Source organism: Homo sapiens, chromosome 13, assembly GCF_000001405.40.
Source record: "Homo sapiens chromosome 13, GRCh38.p14 Primary Assembly".
In the NCBI taxonomy this organism is placed as follows: domain Eukaryota; kingdom Metazoa; phylum Chordata; class Mammalia; order Primates; family Hominidae; genus Homo; species Homo sapiens.
In genome coordinates, this window is record NC_000013.11 from 45128587 (window position 1) to 45146899 (window position 18313).

The following is an 18313-nucleotide window of genomic DNA, read 5'->3' on the forward strand; positions in this document are numbered from 1 at the left end:
TATTTTATTTTATTTTATTTTTTGAGAAAGAGTCTCGCTCTGTCACCCAGGCTGGAGTGCAGTGGCATGTGATCATGACTCACTGTAGCCTCCAACTCCTGGGCTCAAACGATCCTTCTGCCTCAACCTCCCAAGTACCTTGGATCACAAGTGTGCACTAATATGCCTAGATAATTTTTAAATTTTTTGTAGAGATGGGGTCCCCGTATGTTGCCCAGGGTGGTCTCGAACTCCTGGCTCAAGTGATCCTCCCTCTTCAGCCTTCCAAAGTGCTGAGATTATAGGTGTGAGCCACCATGCCCGACACAATGTTTTTAAGTTGGCAGTTGCTTGTATTAGGTATAATTTGTTGTACTGAATTTGATTCTTAAATTTGCCTTAATGTATGATATATAGTTACTTTCCCTTGAAGTGCTTTCTTGTTTGAAGGCCTAAATCGTAGTCTCCAGTAGTTTGATCACAGAAAATCCTGATCTGGTTAATATGTTGAAGAAGTATGATCTCATTTAAGAGTTCCAAAGCTTCCAAACATTCTTGTGTTCTCTTTAAGAGCATTTCAGGGTATAGCAGTTAGGGCAAAGTAGTAGGTTAGAAAATGTCCTACTCTACTATTTGCATTTTGTCCTCTTCCTATTTATTTATGACAGAGTCTTACACTGTCACCCAGGCTGGAGTGCAGTGGCACGATCATGGTTCGCTGCAGCCTCGACCTCCCTGGGCTTAAGTGATCCTCCCACCTCAGCCTCTCGAGTAGCTGGGACTACAGGCACACACCACCATGCCTGGCTAATTTTTGTATTTTTTGTAGAGTTGGGGTTTTGCAATGTTGCCCAGGCTGGTCTCGAACTCCTGTGCTCAAATGATCCACCCACCTCAGCCTCCCAAAGTGCTGGGATTACAGGCGTGAGCCACCATGCCCAACCCTTCCCCCTTATTTTAAGGTGGATCTCTGAACTGAGACTTCCCTCTGAGAATGAAATGAAGTGTAGTAAATTATATATCCTAGGTATATTCCAGTATTGACCATCATTGCTGTTACATTAGTGTTTCTTCAATATCCACTCATTAAAATGATAACTATTCTTCTATTCTGGATGCTAGAGATATGACAGTAAACAAAATTACAATATCTGCCTATTCAGATACGTTCTAATTAGATTACGTTCTAATGAGGAGGGAGAATAGACGATAAACAAATACATTTAAAGCAGATGATAAGTGCTCTGAAGAAAAATAAAACAAGGTCAAGGATCTATAAAGTAACTGGTGATGCTATTTTAAATAGGGCAGGAAGGGACCTCACTGATAAGATGGTCTTTAAGCAGGGACGTAAAGAATTTATGGGCTTGCCCTTGCAGATACCCATGGGAAGAGTGTTCCGGACAGAAATAACAGCAAATGCGTCTTTAGATGGGACGTCACCGCAAATGTTCACAGGTCTGTGTGGTTTGAGTAAGGTGAGAGGGAGAGTAGGAGTTGAAGATATGGGATAGGATCATCCAGGGAACTGGGTCACCTAAGACATTATAGGAGTTTTCTTCTGAGTGAGATGGGAAGCTAGTAGCCATGGAGAGGCAGCATGGCATGGTGACTAAAATCGTGGACTGTGGAGTCGACTGCTTAGGTTAGAATCCTAGTTTCACCGCTAGTGATTGTGAGACTTTGGGCAAATAATAGCTTTTTGGTGCTTCAGTTTCTGCAGTTGCAAAATAGAATGATGATAGGGCTGTTATAAGGATTAAATGGAGTAATATTTGTAAAGTGTTTAGAAAAGTGTCTGGTAAACATAGTAAGCACTATGTAGATGTCTGTTAAATAAATGGAAATGTTTTGAGCAGAACAGTATCATCTGACTTAGGTTTTAAGATGACCATTCTGGCTGCTTTATTGAGAATAAACTGTACATGGGCAAAAGTGGAAGCAAGGAAATCAGGAGGCTGTTAAAACAATAATTATTCAAGAGATGATGGTGGCTTGGGCTAGGGTAGTAACTCGAGTTGGTGAGAAAAGGCTGGAGTTGGATATAATCTGAAGATATTGACAGGATGTATCAGTTGATTGGATTTGGGGTATAAGAAAAAAATATTCAGGATGACTCCAAGGTTTCAGCCTGAGTGTTTGGAAGAATGGAGTTGCCTTTTATTAAGATACGGAAAATTGCAGCAGGAGCAAGGTTTATGAGGGAGAAATTAGTTCTAGTATGGAGATTTTAAGTTTGAAATGCTTACTGAATATTAAGATGGAGAGTTTGAGTAGGCAGTTGGATATATAAATTGAGACTTCAGGGGAGAACCTGAGCTTGTTGTAAGTTTGAGAGTTGTCATACAGATGGTATTTTAAAGCCACGAGACTGGATGAAGTTACTTAAGATTGAGAGTATACAGGGCTGGGCACGGTGGCCTATGCCTGTAATCCCAGCACTTTGGGAGGCTGAGGTGGGCGGATCACCTGAGGTCAGGAGTTTGAGACCAGCCTGACCAACATGGAGAAACCCCGTCTCTGCTAAAAATACAAAATTAGCTGAGGCAGGAGAATCGCTTGAACCCGGAAGGCAGAGGTTGTGGTGAGCCGAGATCGCGCCATTGCACTCCAGCCTGGGCAACAAGAGTGAAACTCAGTCTCAGAAAAAAAAAAAAAGAGTATAGAGAGAAGAGGGGGGATCCAAGGACTGAATCCAGTGCCCACTGAAGTTAAGGGGCCAGAAAGATGAGAATCTAGATGTGGAGACCAAAAAGGAGAGTCCAGAGAAGTAGAGGGAGAAATCGAGAGAGTGTGATTACTCAGATGCCAAGTGAATAAAGTATTTGAAGGAAAAGGAAATAATTAGCTCTCAGATATTGTTGTTAAGTATGAAAGATGGGGACTAAACATTGGCTTGGTAATTTGGAGATCCTAATAACCCTGTGATCAGTTTCAGTGGAGTGGCAGGGAGGAGAGCCTGTCTAGAGTAAGTTCAAAACAAAGTGGCAGAGGAGTAAGTGTAGACAGCTGGCATAGAGAACTCTCTCAAGGAGTTTTGCCATAAAGAGAGGCAGAGGACCAGGCACGGTGGCTCATGCCTGTAATCCCAGCACCTTGGGAGTCTGAGGTGGGATGATCCCTTGAGTCCAGAAGTTTGAGACCAGGCTAGGCAATGTGGTGAGACTTCATCTCCACAAAAAATACAAAACTTAGCTGGGCATGGTGGTGCACACCTGTAGTTCAGCTACTTGGGAGGCTGAGGTGGGAGTATCGTTGGAGCCCAGGAAGTGGAGGTTGCAGTGAGCCAAAATTGTAAATCCACCCTGGGTGACAGAATGAGACCCTGTCTCAAAAAAAAAAAAAAAAAAAAAAAAGAGAGAGAGAGAAAAGGTAGAGAAATCAGACACTGGGTGGGAAGGATTATTAAGTCTGCCCTTTCCAAGGTGCATGCTCTTGAGCAAATTTATAAGCCTCCCTGTGCCTTAGTTTCCTCATCTGTAAAATGAAGACACTAATAGGATTGTGTGAGAAGTAGATGATTAATATATTTACAGCATTTAGAAGAGTGCTTGTTGCTTAATGTATTAATTATCTATTGGTATATAACCTATTACCATGGGCTTAGTAGTTTAAAACAACATGCATTTATTATTTCACAGTTTCTGTGGGCTGGGACTCCTGGCATGGCTTAGTTGGCTCCTTTGCTTCAAAGTCTCTCACTGGCGATAGTCAAGGTATCAGCCAGGGTTGGATTCTCATCTGAAGTTTTGACTGGGGAAATATTGTTTCCAAGCTTACGTGGTTGGTAGAATTCAGTTCCTCCAGGGTTGTTGGACTTAAGAGTCCAAGTTCCTAGCTGACTCTTGGCTAAAGCTTGTCATTAGTGTTTTTTTTTTTTGGTTTGTTTTGTTTTTGCCACATCGGCCTCTTCAATATGGCAGATTTCTAAATCAGAGTGTGCACACTGAGAAAGCAATGAGAGAAGACAGAAGTTATAATCTTATGTAACCTAATTACAGAAGCGAAGTCCCATTACTTTTGCCCTGAGTCACAGATACTAAGGGTGTACTTGAAGGAAATATGTCCTTGGTTACATAACAGGGAAAGAAATTCAGTGCACAAGTGGAGGGATTGGCCATAGTTTATCCATTGTTTAAAGAGGGTAAAGCAAGTAAAAGTATCCAATTGTGGCTAGGTGGTAGATGTAGAAGTTTAGATTTGATGGTTTGCTTTTTCTCGGTGGAAGAGGAAGTCAGGTCAGCACAGAGGGAGGAGGAAGGAAGAGGTGTTCTAGGTTCGAGAAGTGAAAAGAGAACATTTGAATAATCAGGAGTGAGGGACTGAATTGACTAGGGAGATGTAGTTAAGTTGCCAGGTGTCACTAAGGGCTCACTTGATGTTTGTAACCATGTATTTAATGTGAGACCAGCTAGCGTGATCGAGAGCTTTCCTTCAGCTGCTCAGGTGCAAGTGTGGCAGAGAAGAGGAATAACACAATAAAATAAAACCACAGATAAATTATAAATTAATAAAGAGAAGTAGAGATTGGCTTTAATCAGGATTAAGGTTTTGCCACGCTAGTATGACAGAGGAAGATGGGGCAAGGGAATGATTATAATGATGGACCATGGAATCTAGTTTCATTAAAGAGAGAAATGAGGACATAGCAGATGGGGGACAGTGAGAAGATGTTAATTAGAGTCAGCGAATTGAGGGTTAGAAGAATTGTTGGGAGTCAAAGTGAGGTGGGAAGTTAAAGAAAGAAAAATAAAATTAAAAAGAGAAATAAGGTTTCCTATATTAGGCTGACTTGTCCCAGAGGCAGCAACAGGCACAGCCCAGACCCAGGGAAAGTCTTGATAATGCTATCTATCTAAGAAGCCAGGACACAAAGGAATGTGCTCTGGAGACTCTCCCAGCACTCCCTCAACATAGGGAGAAGAAAAACAAATTTTCATTTGTTTTATGGTATGAGTTTATAAATTCCATTCTCTGTAACTGGTGACTTCAAGTATTCTGTTTTATCTAAGTAGTGGAGTGGTCATAAACCATCTGAGCAGGCCACCTGGGCGCCATAGTGAAGGCCGTGGAATAAGCCATGCTAGGCACTAGGCAAACCTAGATAATGGACATCTGGGCTGCATGGCAATGGTCATGTGTAATCCTGAGTTATGAACCTGTTACAATTTGATTAACTGTCTTTGTCCTGCCTCTGTATCGCTGCATTCGTGCCACTGTAAGCCTGCTTCAAGCTAGCCCACCCCTTTTTAAAGTGTGTATAAAAGTCAAGTGCTGTCTTTGTTCTGGGCCCAGTCTTTGGATGTTAAGTCCGCTGGGTCTGAGTGCACTCATTAAAGATATCCTCCTGTATACACCCCATGGTCTCTCTCTGGTCCTCCTGATTCCGCCACAAAAGTACTAAGGAGAGAGCTAGGAATTTAGGAGATGGTGCTTAGGATGGTTGCTTGAAATACAGATTATGAAGGGGATACTGTTGTTGAGAATGAGAAGTTCATAGGATATCCAGCAGATAATGTTGTGGACATTTGCTTCTTTAACCAGTATCCATTTACTTTGACATTGTTGCAGAATCTTGATTGTGCTTGTGGAAACCACTGTTTCCCCTTTTCAATCTGTGTGATTTTAATGGTATTGACTACCCTTCCGCAAAGATGTCATTGACTCAGGCTGGCCAGTGAAGTATCTCATCTCTGGGCACAGTGATAGGTCCAAGAAAGGGCACACACCCTTGTCAGCTTGATGAAAGACAAATTTTCGCTAGGGACTTCTGGGAAGAAGACTTATGCTCTTCGGGAGCTGCCTCTGCCATCTTGCTGCCTGAGGTGGGGGTCTGCCAAATAACTGAGTTAACATGGGGGAGGGATAGATAAGAAATAGTGAAAGAGTCCTGAGGGCATCATTTGAGCCCTTAATGAAGCCACCTTAAAGCTACCTCTGGAATTTTTTGTTATTTGGCACATGAAATCCTCTTTAAGTGGGTTTTCTGTCACCTGTAATTAAAGGAGACCGAATGGGTAGGTACAGTCATCGTAAGGAGTTTGCCAAATCCTCTAAGCTTGTTTGGATGAATGGAGTAGAGTGTAGTGGAAGTTTTGTTGAGATATGGAATCTTCAAAATCCTCCTTCCCTTAGATCTATTACATACTCTTCTTTAGCATGTATACCCTTGTGAGAGGTAGTATGGTCTAGTGAAGAGAGCAGAAGACCAGTCTGGAGTTGAGTCTTGAATCTGATCCTGGCTTCTTGAGTTATTTCAACCCTCTGAACCTCAGTTTTCTCATCTGTAGGATGAGGAGAATGTGATTTTGCAGGGCAATTGGAAGGATGAAACAGGATAGTGGATGTTTAGCATGGTACCTGACTGGACTCTAGTATATTGTCTAACTTTTTTTTTTTTTTTTTGACACAAGAGTCTCTCTCTGTCACCCAGGCTGGAGTGCAGTGGTGTAATCTCAGCTCACTGCAACCTCCACCTCCTGGGTTCAAGCAATTCTCGTGCCTTAGTCTTCCAAGTAGCTGGGACCACAGGCATGTGCCACTGCGCCCAGCTAATTTTTGTATTTTTAGTAGAGACGGGATTCCGCCATGATGGCCAGGCTGGTCTAGAACTCCTGACCTCAAGTGATCTGCCCGCCTTGGCCTCCCAAAGTGCTGAGATTACAGGAGCAAGCCACCACACCCCATGAACCCATAGTATCTAGTAGTTGTTCAGTAACTTTATTTATTTTTTTGAGACGGAGTATTGCTCTGGCGCAATCTTGGCTCACTGCAACCTCTGCCTCCCAGGTTCAAGCAAGTCTCCTGCCTCAGCCTCCTGAGTAGCTGGGATTACAGGCACGCACGACCATGCCCGGCTAATTTTTGTATTCTTAGTAGAGGTGGGGTTTCACCATGTTGGTCAGGCTGGTCTTGAACTCATGACCTCGTGATCTGCCCGCCTCGGCCTTCCAAAGTGCTGGGATTACAGGCGTGAGCCACCGCGCCCAGCCCTGTTCAGTAACTTTTAATGTGAAGAGTGCATACATAATTGAACAAATACCATCAGGGGCTTCTTTTCATCCTTCTATTCCTGAATTTTTGCTGTACCAAGGTACTGCAATTTATTTGACTAGTGGTCAAGTCGTGTTTTTTTGCACATGAAGTACTGCTAGGTAGAATTTCTTTCCTTCTCAGCTTTGGCAGCTAGACTGTCACTCCAAATTTGTCATGAAAAAATAATGACACTTGACACTTACTGAGTAATTGCTTTGTGTAAGGTGTTATGCTTTATACTTGGTGTATCTCATTTACTCCTAATAATAGGATAACTTTCAAGGTATGCCCTGATTCCAGAGTCCAAATTACTTTTTAGAAGAAATGAGATAAGGTATATAGTAGGGATTCAGCATATATCATCCACTTTTCCTTTTTGGGAATTAAAGTCCTTCTTATTGCATGTATCCAGTTACAACACAATATAGTGTATTGGTTAAGAACACAGACCCTGGAGGCAGAATGCCTGGGTTCAAATCCTGTCTCCATCTTTACTAATTGTATAACCTTGAGTAAATTGTATAGTCCCTGAGTGCCTCAAATTCATCATCTGTAAAATGGGGGTAATAGTACCTGTTCCATAGAGATGTGAGGATTAAATGTGTCAATCTATATAAAGTGCTTACAACAGTGTCAGGAAGGCAGGATTATATAAATGTTAGCTATGCTGTTTAATAATCCTTTTATATTAGCAGCCTCTTCTTCACAGTAGTCAAAGTTACAATTTTCTACATAATAAAACTTGACTTTTGAAATAATCGTAAGCCCAGTGGTGTTTCTAAATAATGCTGTTACTATAGTGAGTGCTGTTCTCTTCTGAGAAGCCTTTTCTGATAGCCTTTCTCTTCTGTGACCTTTAATTGGACTTATTTGGGAAGATAAGTTGGTGCTTTATTATTGTTAGGTTATTTGACCTATGTTAGTTTTGTGTTGCCACCTCGATTAAGTTCTTTGAGAGCTAAAATCATTTTTTACGTGTCTTAGTATTTTATATAGTGTAAAACATACAGTAGTAACTTGATAATGATCCCTTATTAGAGGCAGAAAATAAAAATAGAAGCAATATATCATTTTATGTTTGAAAAGATGTTAGCATCTAAAATAGACTTATTAGTGTTTTACTTTGTTTTAGGTTCCTAAATATTTGTCACAGCAATGGGCTAAAGCCTCTGGAAGAGGTGAAGTTGGGAAACTGCGGATTGCCAAGTAAGTTATTTACATATTCTTGACATTTTAAAAAGCTATTTTTGAAATTTTTATAAGTGCTTTTAAAAGTGATTATAATTTCTGATCAGAGTTTACTTGGAAAATGACAAGTAATGAGCATGTCAAGGCTTGTCAGGAGATGGTTAGGTGCCCTGTAAGGAGACATCCTTGCACATACACACATATCCCCACACCCACACTCCTAGTGACTGGTGGTATAAATATAATATCAAGTTTATTGGTTTACCTTAATGGCGGTGAAGCAGCAGATTATGTAGTTCTTTCACCCCTCCATCCTGTCTGCCTCCTTGAGCAGGTTTGCTTAGGCTGGGTATAACTGGATGCACCAAGGAAAGTACTTGCAGCAGGACTTTGCCACTGTACCACTGGGCCTACTTATAGGGGCTTTGGAAGTGGGTGGGGAGTATCTAGAAAACAGTGTAACAATATAGTTTTCTGGTTGAGGAAATGGCCTTGTTAGAAAGGAAAGCCTCTAAAGCTCAGCTAGTGTCAGCTGGAGGCCTTGTGTTCCATTCTTTCTATCCATTCATTCTTAACCAACTCCATTCAGATTCGTATGTCCATGATTCCATTGAAACAGCTCTTGTCTGTTACTGGTATCTTCCTCTTTATCAATTAGCTTTTGCTTCATAACAAACCATCCCAAAACTTAGTGGCTTAGAACAAAAGCCATTTTATTTGCTGATAATTCTATGGATCAATTCTGGTTGGGGCTGGCCTGGGCGGCCTTCCTGGCAAGGATGTCCTCACTTGTATGTGGTGGTTGAGTTGACATTAGCAGGGGCAACAGCTATTTATTTCATCTCTAGCAAGCTCATTCACATGATGGTGAAAGAGTTCTAGTAGGAAAAGAGGAAGCCCCAGTGCACAAGCACTTTGAAAGCCTGTGCTTGTGTCACATTTGCTAAAGTCCTTTTGACCAAAGCAGCTCACATGGCCAAGCCCAGATTCAGTTATGGGAAAACAGACTCCACCTTTTGATGGAAGCTGCTGCAAAAAAAACTTGTGTTCCTTATTTATTTATTTATTTATTTCAAAATATGGAATACTTCCTAATTCGCATGTCATCCTTGTGCAGGGGCCATGCTCATCTTCTCTGTATTGTTCCAATTTTAGTATATGCTGCTGAGGCGAGCACATGTTCCTTTTCATAATCGGCCACGTCCACATTCCTAAATCCAAGAGTCAACTAGCAGCTCTCTTACTTGAACTTCGGTGGAATTTGACATAGTTGATCACTTTTTTCCTGAGACTTTTTTTTCCCCACTTTACTCTAGGACACATCTCTTCTCCTCTCGCCTCATTGGCTGTTCCTTCTTAGTTTCTTGCTAAGCCCCTTCTCATCTTCTGTCTCTAAATGTTATGTGACCCCAGGACTCAGTCCTTAGTTCTTTCCTTTTCTCTCTTTTCACTTCCTGGGTGTTCTCATTTGGTCTCATGGCTTTAAGTACCAGGTGGTATTTAAATATACAGTTCAGGATGCTTCTGCCCTCCGTGGAGGCACCGTGCTCAGGAAGGTCCTTATTTTCTTTGTGTTCCATGCCCTGGCTGTGACTTTCTCCACACTACTCCCAGAATCAACCACTGACCTACTAGAATTGACCGCTGATCTAGAGTTAACCACAGACCAAGATTTAACCATTAACCTAGACTTGACCACGGACCTAGAGCCAACCACAGAACACGCAGGCTCTGGAATTCTTTACTGATGTGGAGTCAGCCAACTCTAGCTTTGTGGAAGAAGCTGCTGAGGCCACAGCTGATTATAATCCATTTCAGAGAACTTGTGAGTGACGATTATGATGTGAGTGAAGATCAGTATTATTATTATTTTTCGAGACAATGTCTCACTCTGTTGCCCTTGCTGGAGTGCTGTGGCGTGATCTCAGCTCACTGTATCCTCTGCCTCCCGGGTTCAAGCGATTCTCCTGCCTTAGCTTCCTGAGTAGCTGGGCTTATAGATGTGCGCCAGCATACCTGACTAATTTTTGTATTTTTAGTAGAGACGGGGTTTCGCCATGTTGGCCAAGCTGGTCTTGAACTCCTGACCTCAAGTGAGCCACCTGCTTTGGCCTCCTAAAGTGCTGGGATTACAGGCGGTAGCCACTGTGCCCGGCCGCGAGTGAAGATTATTATGAATGCTGTTTATTCCAAAGAGCCCATCATTAGAGTGACAGACAAGCTTAGCAGATTCACAGGAAGCAATGAGTCCATCTCAGCGCATGTTAAAGCAAATTTTTAGTTAGCTGTGACTATGACTGTTATCCACTACTTTCTAAGAAGATTCTGAGCTTTAAGACAAGCCTGTTACTCCACTATAGGAGATTGCATAATGGTAGAAAACTAGTGAAATGTAGGATGTACCCAGCTGAGGAGAAACAGCAAGACATTGATCCTGGGTTGGGTGATGTGAATTGTGCATGGATGGGGCAGGGGCATTTCTTAGCTGTGTCTCATTTAATATGGGCTCAATAAATGTTCATTTCAACTGAAAATAAGTAAAAATCAAAAAATGTATTTACACACCTCTCTCTCTGTCCACGCTCGTAATTCTGACTGTGTTGTTGATGTTTGGACTGTGTCCTCGGATGTCCTCGGATGTTTCAGAAGCATCTCAAACTTAATAATTGCTATTCTTCTGTTTTTTCTCTCTGTAACACTCTTCCTTTAGATAATCCCCATGCCTTACTCCCACATTTCTTTTCGGTCTCTGTTCACAATTTCAGCTCATTGAGGTATTTTCTGGCCACCATATGTAAAATAGCACCCTGCAGGCTCTATCTCCCTTACCCTCTTATTATTCACTGTTCTTTTGTGTTGTTATTTATTCTCCTTCTACTATACCCATCTGACATACTGTATATTTGTTTATGTGTTGTTCATATCGCCTACTAAAGTATAAACTCTACCAGGTCAGGATTTTTGTCTTGATGATTACTATATCTCCATTGTCTAGAACAATGCTTGGCATAGTAGACACTGTGTTCTAAAGTTAGGTGGGGACAAGTACAGTTGTCCCTCAGTACCTGCAGGAGATTGGTGTCTGGCATGCCCCATCTCCCATACCAAAATCTACCATGCTCAAGTCCTTTATATAAAATGGCACAGTATTTACGTATAACCTACACACATCCTTCTGTATACTTTAAAGCATCTCTAGATTACTTATAACTAATACAGTGTAAAAACTATGTAAATAGTTGTTACTATTTGTTTTTCTCTTTTTTTTGAAACAGGGTCTCACTCTGTTCCCAGGACTACAGGCAAGCACTGCCATGCCCAGCTAATTTTTTTTTTTTTTTTCTCGTAGAGGCAGAGTCTCCCTGTGTTGCCTTGGTTGGTCTCAAACTCCTGGGCTTAAGGGATCCTCCCTCCTCAGCCCCTAAAGTGTGGGTGTTACAGGCATGAACCACCATGCCCAGCCGATGTTTAAAATATTTTCAGTCTGCAGTTGGTTGACTCCACGAATATTGACCACTCAGATATAGGGGGCCAACTGTAATATCTCGTTTTCTCAAGGAATGATTGAGTATATGTTCATAGTGGAGTCAGGCTTGTATTCTGGCCTTTTATTGGTCAGAAAACTCCAGCATGTCCTAGTTCTAACTCAATCATTTACTATGAGTGAGACTTTGTACAAGTCACTGAATCTTCTGACTTTAGATTTCTTATCCTAAAAGTTGCCTTTTTGCAGGGCTTTTATATGAATCCATTAAGATAATATGGAAATAGTTATTTATTTGTATATTTAAGTTTATAAGATGAACATATTCCTGGAAAGTTGTAGATGTGTCACATTTTTATGAGTTGTCATACTTTTATTGAAAGAGAAAAATAATATTGAAATGTACAGGTTTTTTTTCCCTCAATGTGAAGTTCTTTGTAATGTACATAATTAGCTACTGTTCTGTAATGAACTTCAGAGTTTTTTATATTAGGTTTTACTGAAATGGGAGCCACAACCAAGATAAAATCTCAGGAATGTATGTCACTGAAGAAAGGCAGGCTAAAGGAGAGAGTACTTAGATGATGAACCTCATGGTATTGTGGAGTGCCTTCACAATACAGCTCAAGACCTGGCTTCTAGTCCTGAATGGCTGTTGATAGTTGTTTGGCTTTGGGCCTTACACTTCTTGTTTGTAAAATGTGGATAATAATGCCTTCCCAACCCATAGGATGTTTATAAAACATTAAATAGCTTAGCATTTGTTAAAATATTTGTAAACTCAAATGTTCTCCTTCCATGTAATATTCATGTCCCATGAATAATACATTCCTGAAAACCTCTATGTAAAGAAAATACCTGGTTCAGAAATATAGTATCTCTTTTTGGGAGGAGGGGGAAAATATTACAGGAAAAAGAGTGAAAGGAAACAAGGCTGAGAGAAACCCATGTAAATCTCAAGTACCACTTTGATCACTAAAGTAAAATATTAAAGATAGCATGCTAAATAAGCAATAATGGGCATGCTGCAATTTTTCCTTATGAATCCTTGCTTGGTAGAAAATCTCAAGGTCTTTTTCTTTCTTAGTTTAAAGCAGATGGTCCACATAGTTGCTAATCCACATAGGGTGGCTAAACCTCCAGGTTTGCCTGGAACCCTCCCAGTTTATGTGTTTCCCTATGCAATTATTAATAGTGCCCCCTTTTCCACTCTCCAGGGTGTCCTGGTTTTGATAATATAGTTGTCCTAAGTGTTAGCAGATGTGTGTGTAGGGGTAGGGGTGAAGACGGTGGGTAGTTATTCTATGCATTACTAGGCTGATTTATGAGCTGGCATTGTTTGATTTCTCTAGGGATCCAACCAAAGTTCCTTACAAATACTGTGTGTGTGTGTTTTAGTGTATAAGTAATACCTACTTTCTTGTTTTTTTTCCTTTAAAATTTTTACAAAATGAAAAGGTCTCTGTTTTCCCCATTCACATGCTTTAGAGGTGGCCATGGGTAACTGCTTGGTATGTAAGCCTCCAGATTACTCTCCATACAAATCATTTTGGGTGTTTAATACGGACAAAGTTTTAAAACATTGTTATGTTTTAAATCCACTAACCAGAGCAAGGTATTTTTCTAACCCCTTTAGGCTTAGTTTTGCTAACTTCAGAACATAGCACAGAAGTCTGATTTTGCTTTCCTTGTTGTTCTCTCTTGTATGTAGTTCTGAGGCTTTGGTTTACTTTGTTGCATCTTGATCTCTTCCCTAGAGTACATGGCCAGTACTTACATTCCTTGTTTTTCTCACTTTAGTCTTGAATTCTTTTGAAAGTAAAACCTCAGTAGAAGTGAGTTGAAATTATTTTATTCAAATCAGTTTCCTCAACCACAGTTGAAGAAAAAGTAAGCCCACCATTTTGTTTTTGAGATGGAGTCTGGCTCTGTTGCCCAGGCTGGAGCGCAGTGGCGTGATCTCGGCTCACTGCAACCTCCGCCTCCTGAGTTCAAGCAATTCTCGTGCCTCAGCCTCCTGAGTAGCTGGGATTATAGGCGCCTGCCACCATGCCCAGCTAATTTTTTTTATTTTTAGTAGAGACAGGGTTTCACCATGTTGGCCAGGCTGGTCTTGAACTCCTGACCTCAAGTGATCTGCCTGCCTTGGCCTCCCAAAGTGCTAGGATTACAGGCGTGAGCCACCACGTCTGGCCCTCAGAATTTCTTAAAAGGGAATCTAGTGGTTTTTACCTATGCCAATATCAGAGACAAATAAGGAGCAAATTGTGTGTGTTTGCATGTTTTATATGTAGGCAACAGGTCTAGCAGATTTTCTACCTAACGTAACACATAATCAGTCTTGTAGAAGATCTAGATACTTTTAGTGATGAGAACAGACTTATAGTAATTAGTACCCTAAGACTGCTATGAAAATGCTTGAAAACAGCTTGTTGCCTAGTTGGTCTCCTGGCTGTATTCTCCAGGCTGTCTTGTTTACTTTACTAATTTACTTAGTTTTCATTGCTGTTACTGAATTAACTAAATTCACTGTTAAACAAGTGTAGGATGGGTGGGGAATGTCTTACAGTGCATGTGACTAGGTTATCAGGATTTTAGTTGATTTTGAGCTTAATATGAGTCATCAAATTTATGAGCCGATAAACAAAAGGCTCCATTGATAGATGTCTGTTGTTTAGAATGAAGTGGAATGATAATCCTCCTCCTTACTTTGCCAGTCAGCTCACAGTGAAAACATTATGTTCAGTTCTTAGTGCTGCACTTAAAGAGAGACATGGATGAATAAGATCATTCAGTGGAGTGAGACTAGGATAATCAGAAAGCTGGAAAAAAAAATTAATGTCTTATAAGGAACATTTGAAAGTCTAGGGCTGTTAAGAGAAGATGTAGGGCAGACCAGGTAAACTGTACTCACAGATGTAGAATCAACTACTGATTCCTAGAGGCAGATTAACCTCTAAGTATGTAGGTTTATAGGTTATAGGTTATAGGTTACCTGTGGTTTAAAAAAATGTGTATTTGGGTACAAAATGAAAACAACTAAGATTTTAGAAAGGCAGTGTGGCATACTGGTTATGAGTATGGACCTGGGAATTAGCCTGAGGTTTAGTCCTTACCCTATCACTTACTAGCTATGTGACTTTGCGTAAATTGTTTACTCTGTTTCCTCATCTGAGGAGATGATATTAATACCTCATAGGTTCAAATGCATGTAAAATACGTAGTTAATAAGAGTTCTCCTGCTGTTGTAACCACGCATACTACACAGGCCAGATAGTAGATACTGCATTGTGTCTAATGTGGTGTGGGAGGACCTTCCCTCCCTACCACATCTTCCGAAGCTCAGCAGCAGCTTGCTGTGTGTCGCAGGCCAGAAACTAGGAGATCTGTATGGCGTGGCTGCTTATTCCAGAAGACAGGGCTGTGGGTGGAGAGATTGGGAGAGGCAGAGAGGAGGGAAAAGACGTGCAGCCTGGAATGCAGCTCTTCCTGAATTTGGTTCTGTCTTAATACTCGAAAAAAGGAGAGTCCAGTTGTGAATAAGATGAGAGTAACAGCTTGTTCTGACAGTTGGTAACATTTGGACCATTTTTATCAAGCAATTTATATGATATTTCTAAACCAATGTACCTGGATTATTTTTGTATCTTTGGACATCTGATGTGTGCCACATTTTAATTAGTTTATAGTTTTGCTGGTCTGGGCATGGTGGCTCACACCTGTAATCCTAACACTTTGGGAGGCTGAGGCAGGTGGATCACCTGAGGTCAGGAGTTCGAGACCAGCCTGGCCAACGTGGTGAAACCCCGTCTCTACTAAAAATACAAAAATTAGCCAGATGTGTTGGTGTGTGGCTATAATCCCAGCTCCTCGGGAGGCTGAGGCAGGAGAATCGCTTGAACCCGGGGAAGCAGAGGTTTCAGTGAGCGGAGACCTCACCATTGCACTCCAGCTTGGTCAACAAGCGCAAAACTCAGTCTCAAAAAAAAAATTAGTTTATAGTTTTGCTTTAGCTTGTTTAATTTTAAAGGCAACCTTCTTTGTACATCACCATCCTGCCTCAGAATACTTCAGTTGTCCAAATGTTTGATATATGTTATATCTTATTGATAATCATGTAGCCTGTACTAATAATATGGCTTCTCCCCGAGATTTTTATTTCTAGCTTTATTTCTTTTTTTGGTCTTTTTTTTTTTTTTTTTTTTTGAGACAGAGTCTCACTCAGTCACCCAGGCTGGAGTGCAGTGGCGCGATCTCGGCTTGGGTTCACGCCATTCTCCTGCCTCAGCCTCCCGAGTAGCTGGGACTACAGGCGCCCGCCACCACGACTGGCTAATTTTTTGTATTTTTAGTAGAGACGGGGTTTCACTGTGTTAGCCAGGTTGGTCTCGATCTCCTGACCTCGTGATCCACCCGCCTCGGCCTCCCAAAGTGCTTATTTCTAGCTTTATTTCTAAACATGTTTAACATTCTGGGTCATGTGGGGACCCGCTAATAATAAAAAGTATGGAAACAAAAAATTAATGAGACACAATTTTTCTGTTATAAAATTGACTGAGTTTAGAACAGTGTTATACTGATAATATGATGACGGGAGTTCAATTTGTTACAAACTTTCTGAAAGGCAGTCTGGCAACATATATGTGTGTGTATATAACTTACACAACATGCACACATATTCCTGCTCAAAACAACATAGAATAACAATCCCACTGTTTTCTCTGCCAGTTAGCTCACAGCTCAAGCATTTTATTCAGTTCTCGATGATGCCATTATCTAGAGAGATAGACAAATGAGCTCATCCAGTAGAGTGGGACTGGGATAATGAGAAAGCTATAAAAATTAATAAAAAAAATTCATGCCTTTCATCCAGCAATTCTGTAAATTTCTCTTTGTTTCTTTCATTCCATCAACTGCTAGGAACTTATCCCAGGGAAGTAATAGGTGAGTGATGGAAAGATTAATATATGAGGATAAATTAATAGTAAAATATTTATGCCCTTTTGACATGTCTTCATCATTCTTTGAGCACTTGTTATTTTTTTGACATAGAGAGATGTTTTAGACTCATCTTATACATTTCTGCCTAAGCCCTGGAGTTAGCCATTTCTCCAAGGGGTTGGCCATGGTTCCTTTTAGGGGAGAATGATATTTAGAAACTAAGATCTGGATACCCCAAATGCTTCTTGCTGCTTCCAAGGCCTTCTCAGTGAACAGAGCTAGGGAGCATATGTACACACACACATACCTCCCCCACACACATCCCTCTTTACATCTGTATTTCTATATTTACATATATTGAAATGAGTTTGCACTAATATATCCAGTTCCAATAAAATACCACATACTTTGTTCCAGTTTTCTTCCTTTTCTTACTTGTGCTTCTTTTCCAAAAGTGAGAAACCTGGTTCCTGTTGTCCTTAATATAGTTACTTATTTGTTTGGGCCTCTGTTCTTACTTGTTCAGTCCGTTCCCAACTCCATGTGCAAATACCCTATTCACCCTGCTTGGGCTGTAGCTCCCCTCAGTGTGCTGCCACTTTTGCTGTCCTCCACTGGGACACCCTCCTCACCCTGTTCAGGCTTTCATTCCTGTTCTGAGGTTTCTCCCCTCCTCCATAGGAATGCCTCCTTACCCCACTAAGGGTCCAGCATCCTGTTTCAGGTTGTCCTCCTATATGTGGATGCTCTCACCCGCCAGGCTCTGACACATTTCTTACTGAGCCACTCCTTTATAGCGATGCCCTCCTTACCTGACTGGGCTCTGATACCTTGCCCCTGCTTGCCTGCTTCACCCCAGTGGCATCCTCTTCACCCCATTTGGACTATGACCATCCTATCCAACCCACTCTGAAGAAGATACCTATGTTGTTTGGCTTCACCTAATGGTTTTTGAGCTCAGTTGTTCAGTTAGGGGAAGTATGAATAGGAATTAAAACAAGGCCTGGTGCGGTGGCTTATATCTGTAATCTCAGCACTTTGCGAGGCCAAGGCAGGAGGATCACTTGAGTCTAGGAGTTCGAAACCAGCTGGGGCAACATAGTGAGACCCTGTCTCTACAAAAATAAAAATAAATGTTAGCTAGATAAGGTAATGAGCGCCTGTGGTCCCAGCCACTCCAGAGGCTGAGGTGGGAGGATCACTTCAGCCCAGGAAGTCAAGGCTGCAGTAAGCCATCATCATGCCACTGCACTCTAGCCTGGGTGACAGGTCAAGACCCTGTCACAAAAAGAAAACAAAACAAAACCAACAAGAGCCAACAGTTGAATAATGATATTGTTTTATTAACCTGGAAAAGGTGTTGCTTATTGCCTGTTAGTGAAAAGCCAGGCCCCATTGGTACCAAATCCAAGAAGTATTTTAAAAGTGTAAGAAAAAGGAAAGACATGATTAATACAAATTAAGAAAGGCAACAGGAATGAGACCGGAATCTAAAAAAGTAGCTGTGGGGTATTGAGAAATAGACTCAGAGTAGTAAAGGAGAAAATGCACAGCATTCTGAGAAATTTAGTGAAAGGATGGCCAGATGTTTACTTCATTAATTTCTGAAGATAGCACTGTATTGTACAATAATTAGCATTTAAAATTTTGCACACAGGTCATCATACAAAGGGTATATTATAGTTG

General features: G+C 41.1%; 1 protein-coding gene and 1 pseudogene across 3 annotated transcripts in view; one reads left to right on the plus strand and one right to left on the minus strand.

Moving 5' to 3' along the window:
• Positions 1 to 18313, plus strand: part of GTF2F2 (general transcription factor IIF subunit 2) — a 164384-nt gene that overhangs the window by 8077 nt on the left and 137994 nt on the right. For all 3 annotated transcript variants that reach the window (XM_011535052.4, NM_004128.3, XM_011535053.4), the window contains exon 2: positions 8147 to 8220. In XM_011535052.4, the coding sequence (XP_011533354.1) occupies positions 8147 to 8220 (74 nt within the window). The remainder of the gene's footprint in view (positions 1 to 8146; positions 8221 to 18313) is intronic.
• On the minus strand, positions 9276 to 9379 carry RNU6-69P (RNA, U6 small nuclear 69, pseudogene; annotated as a pseudogene).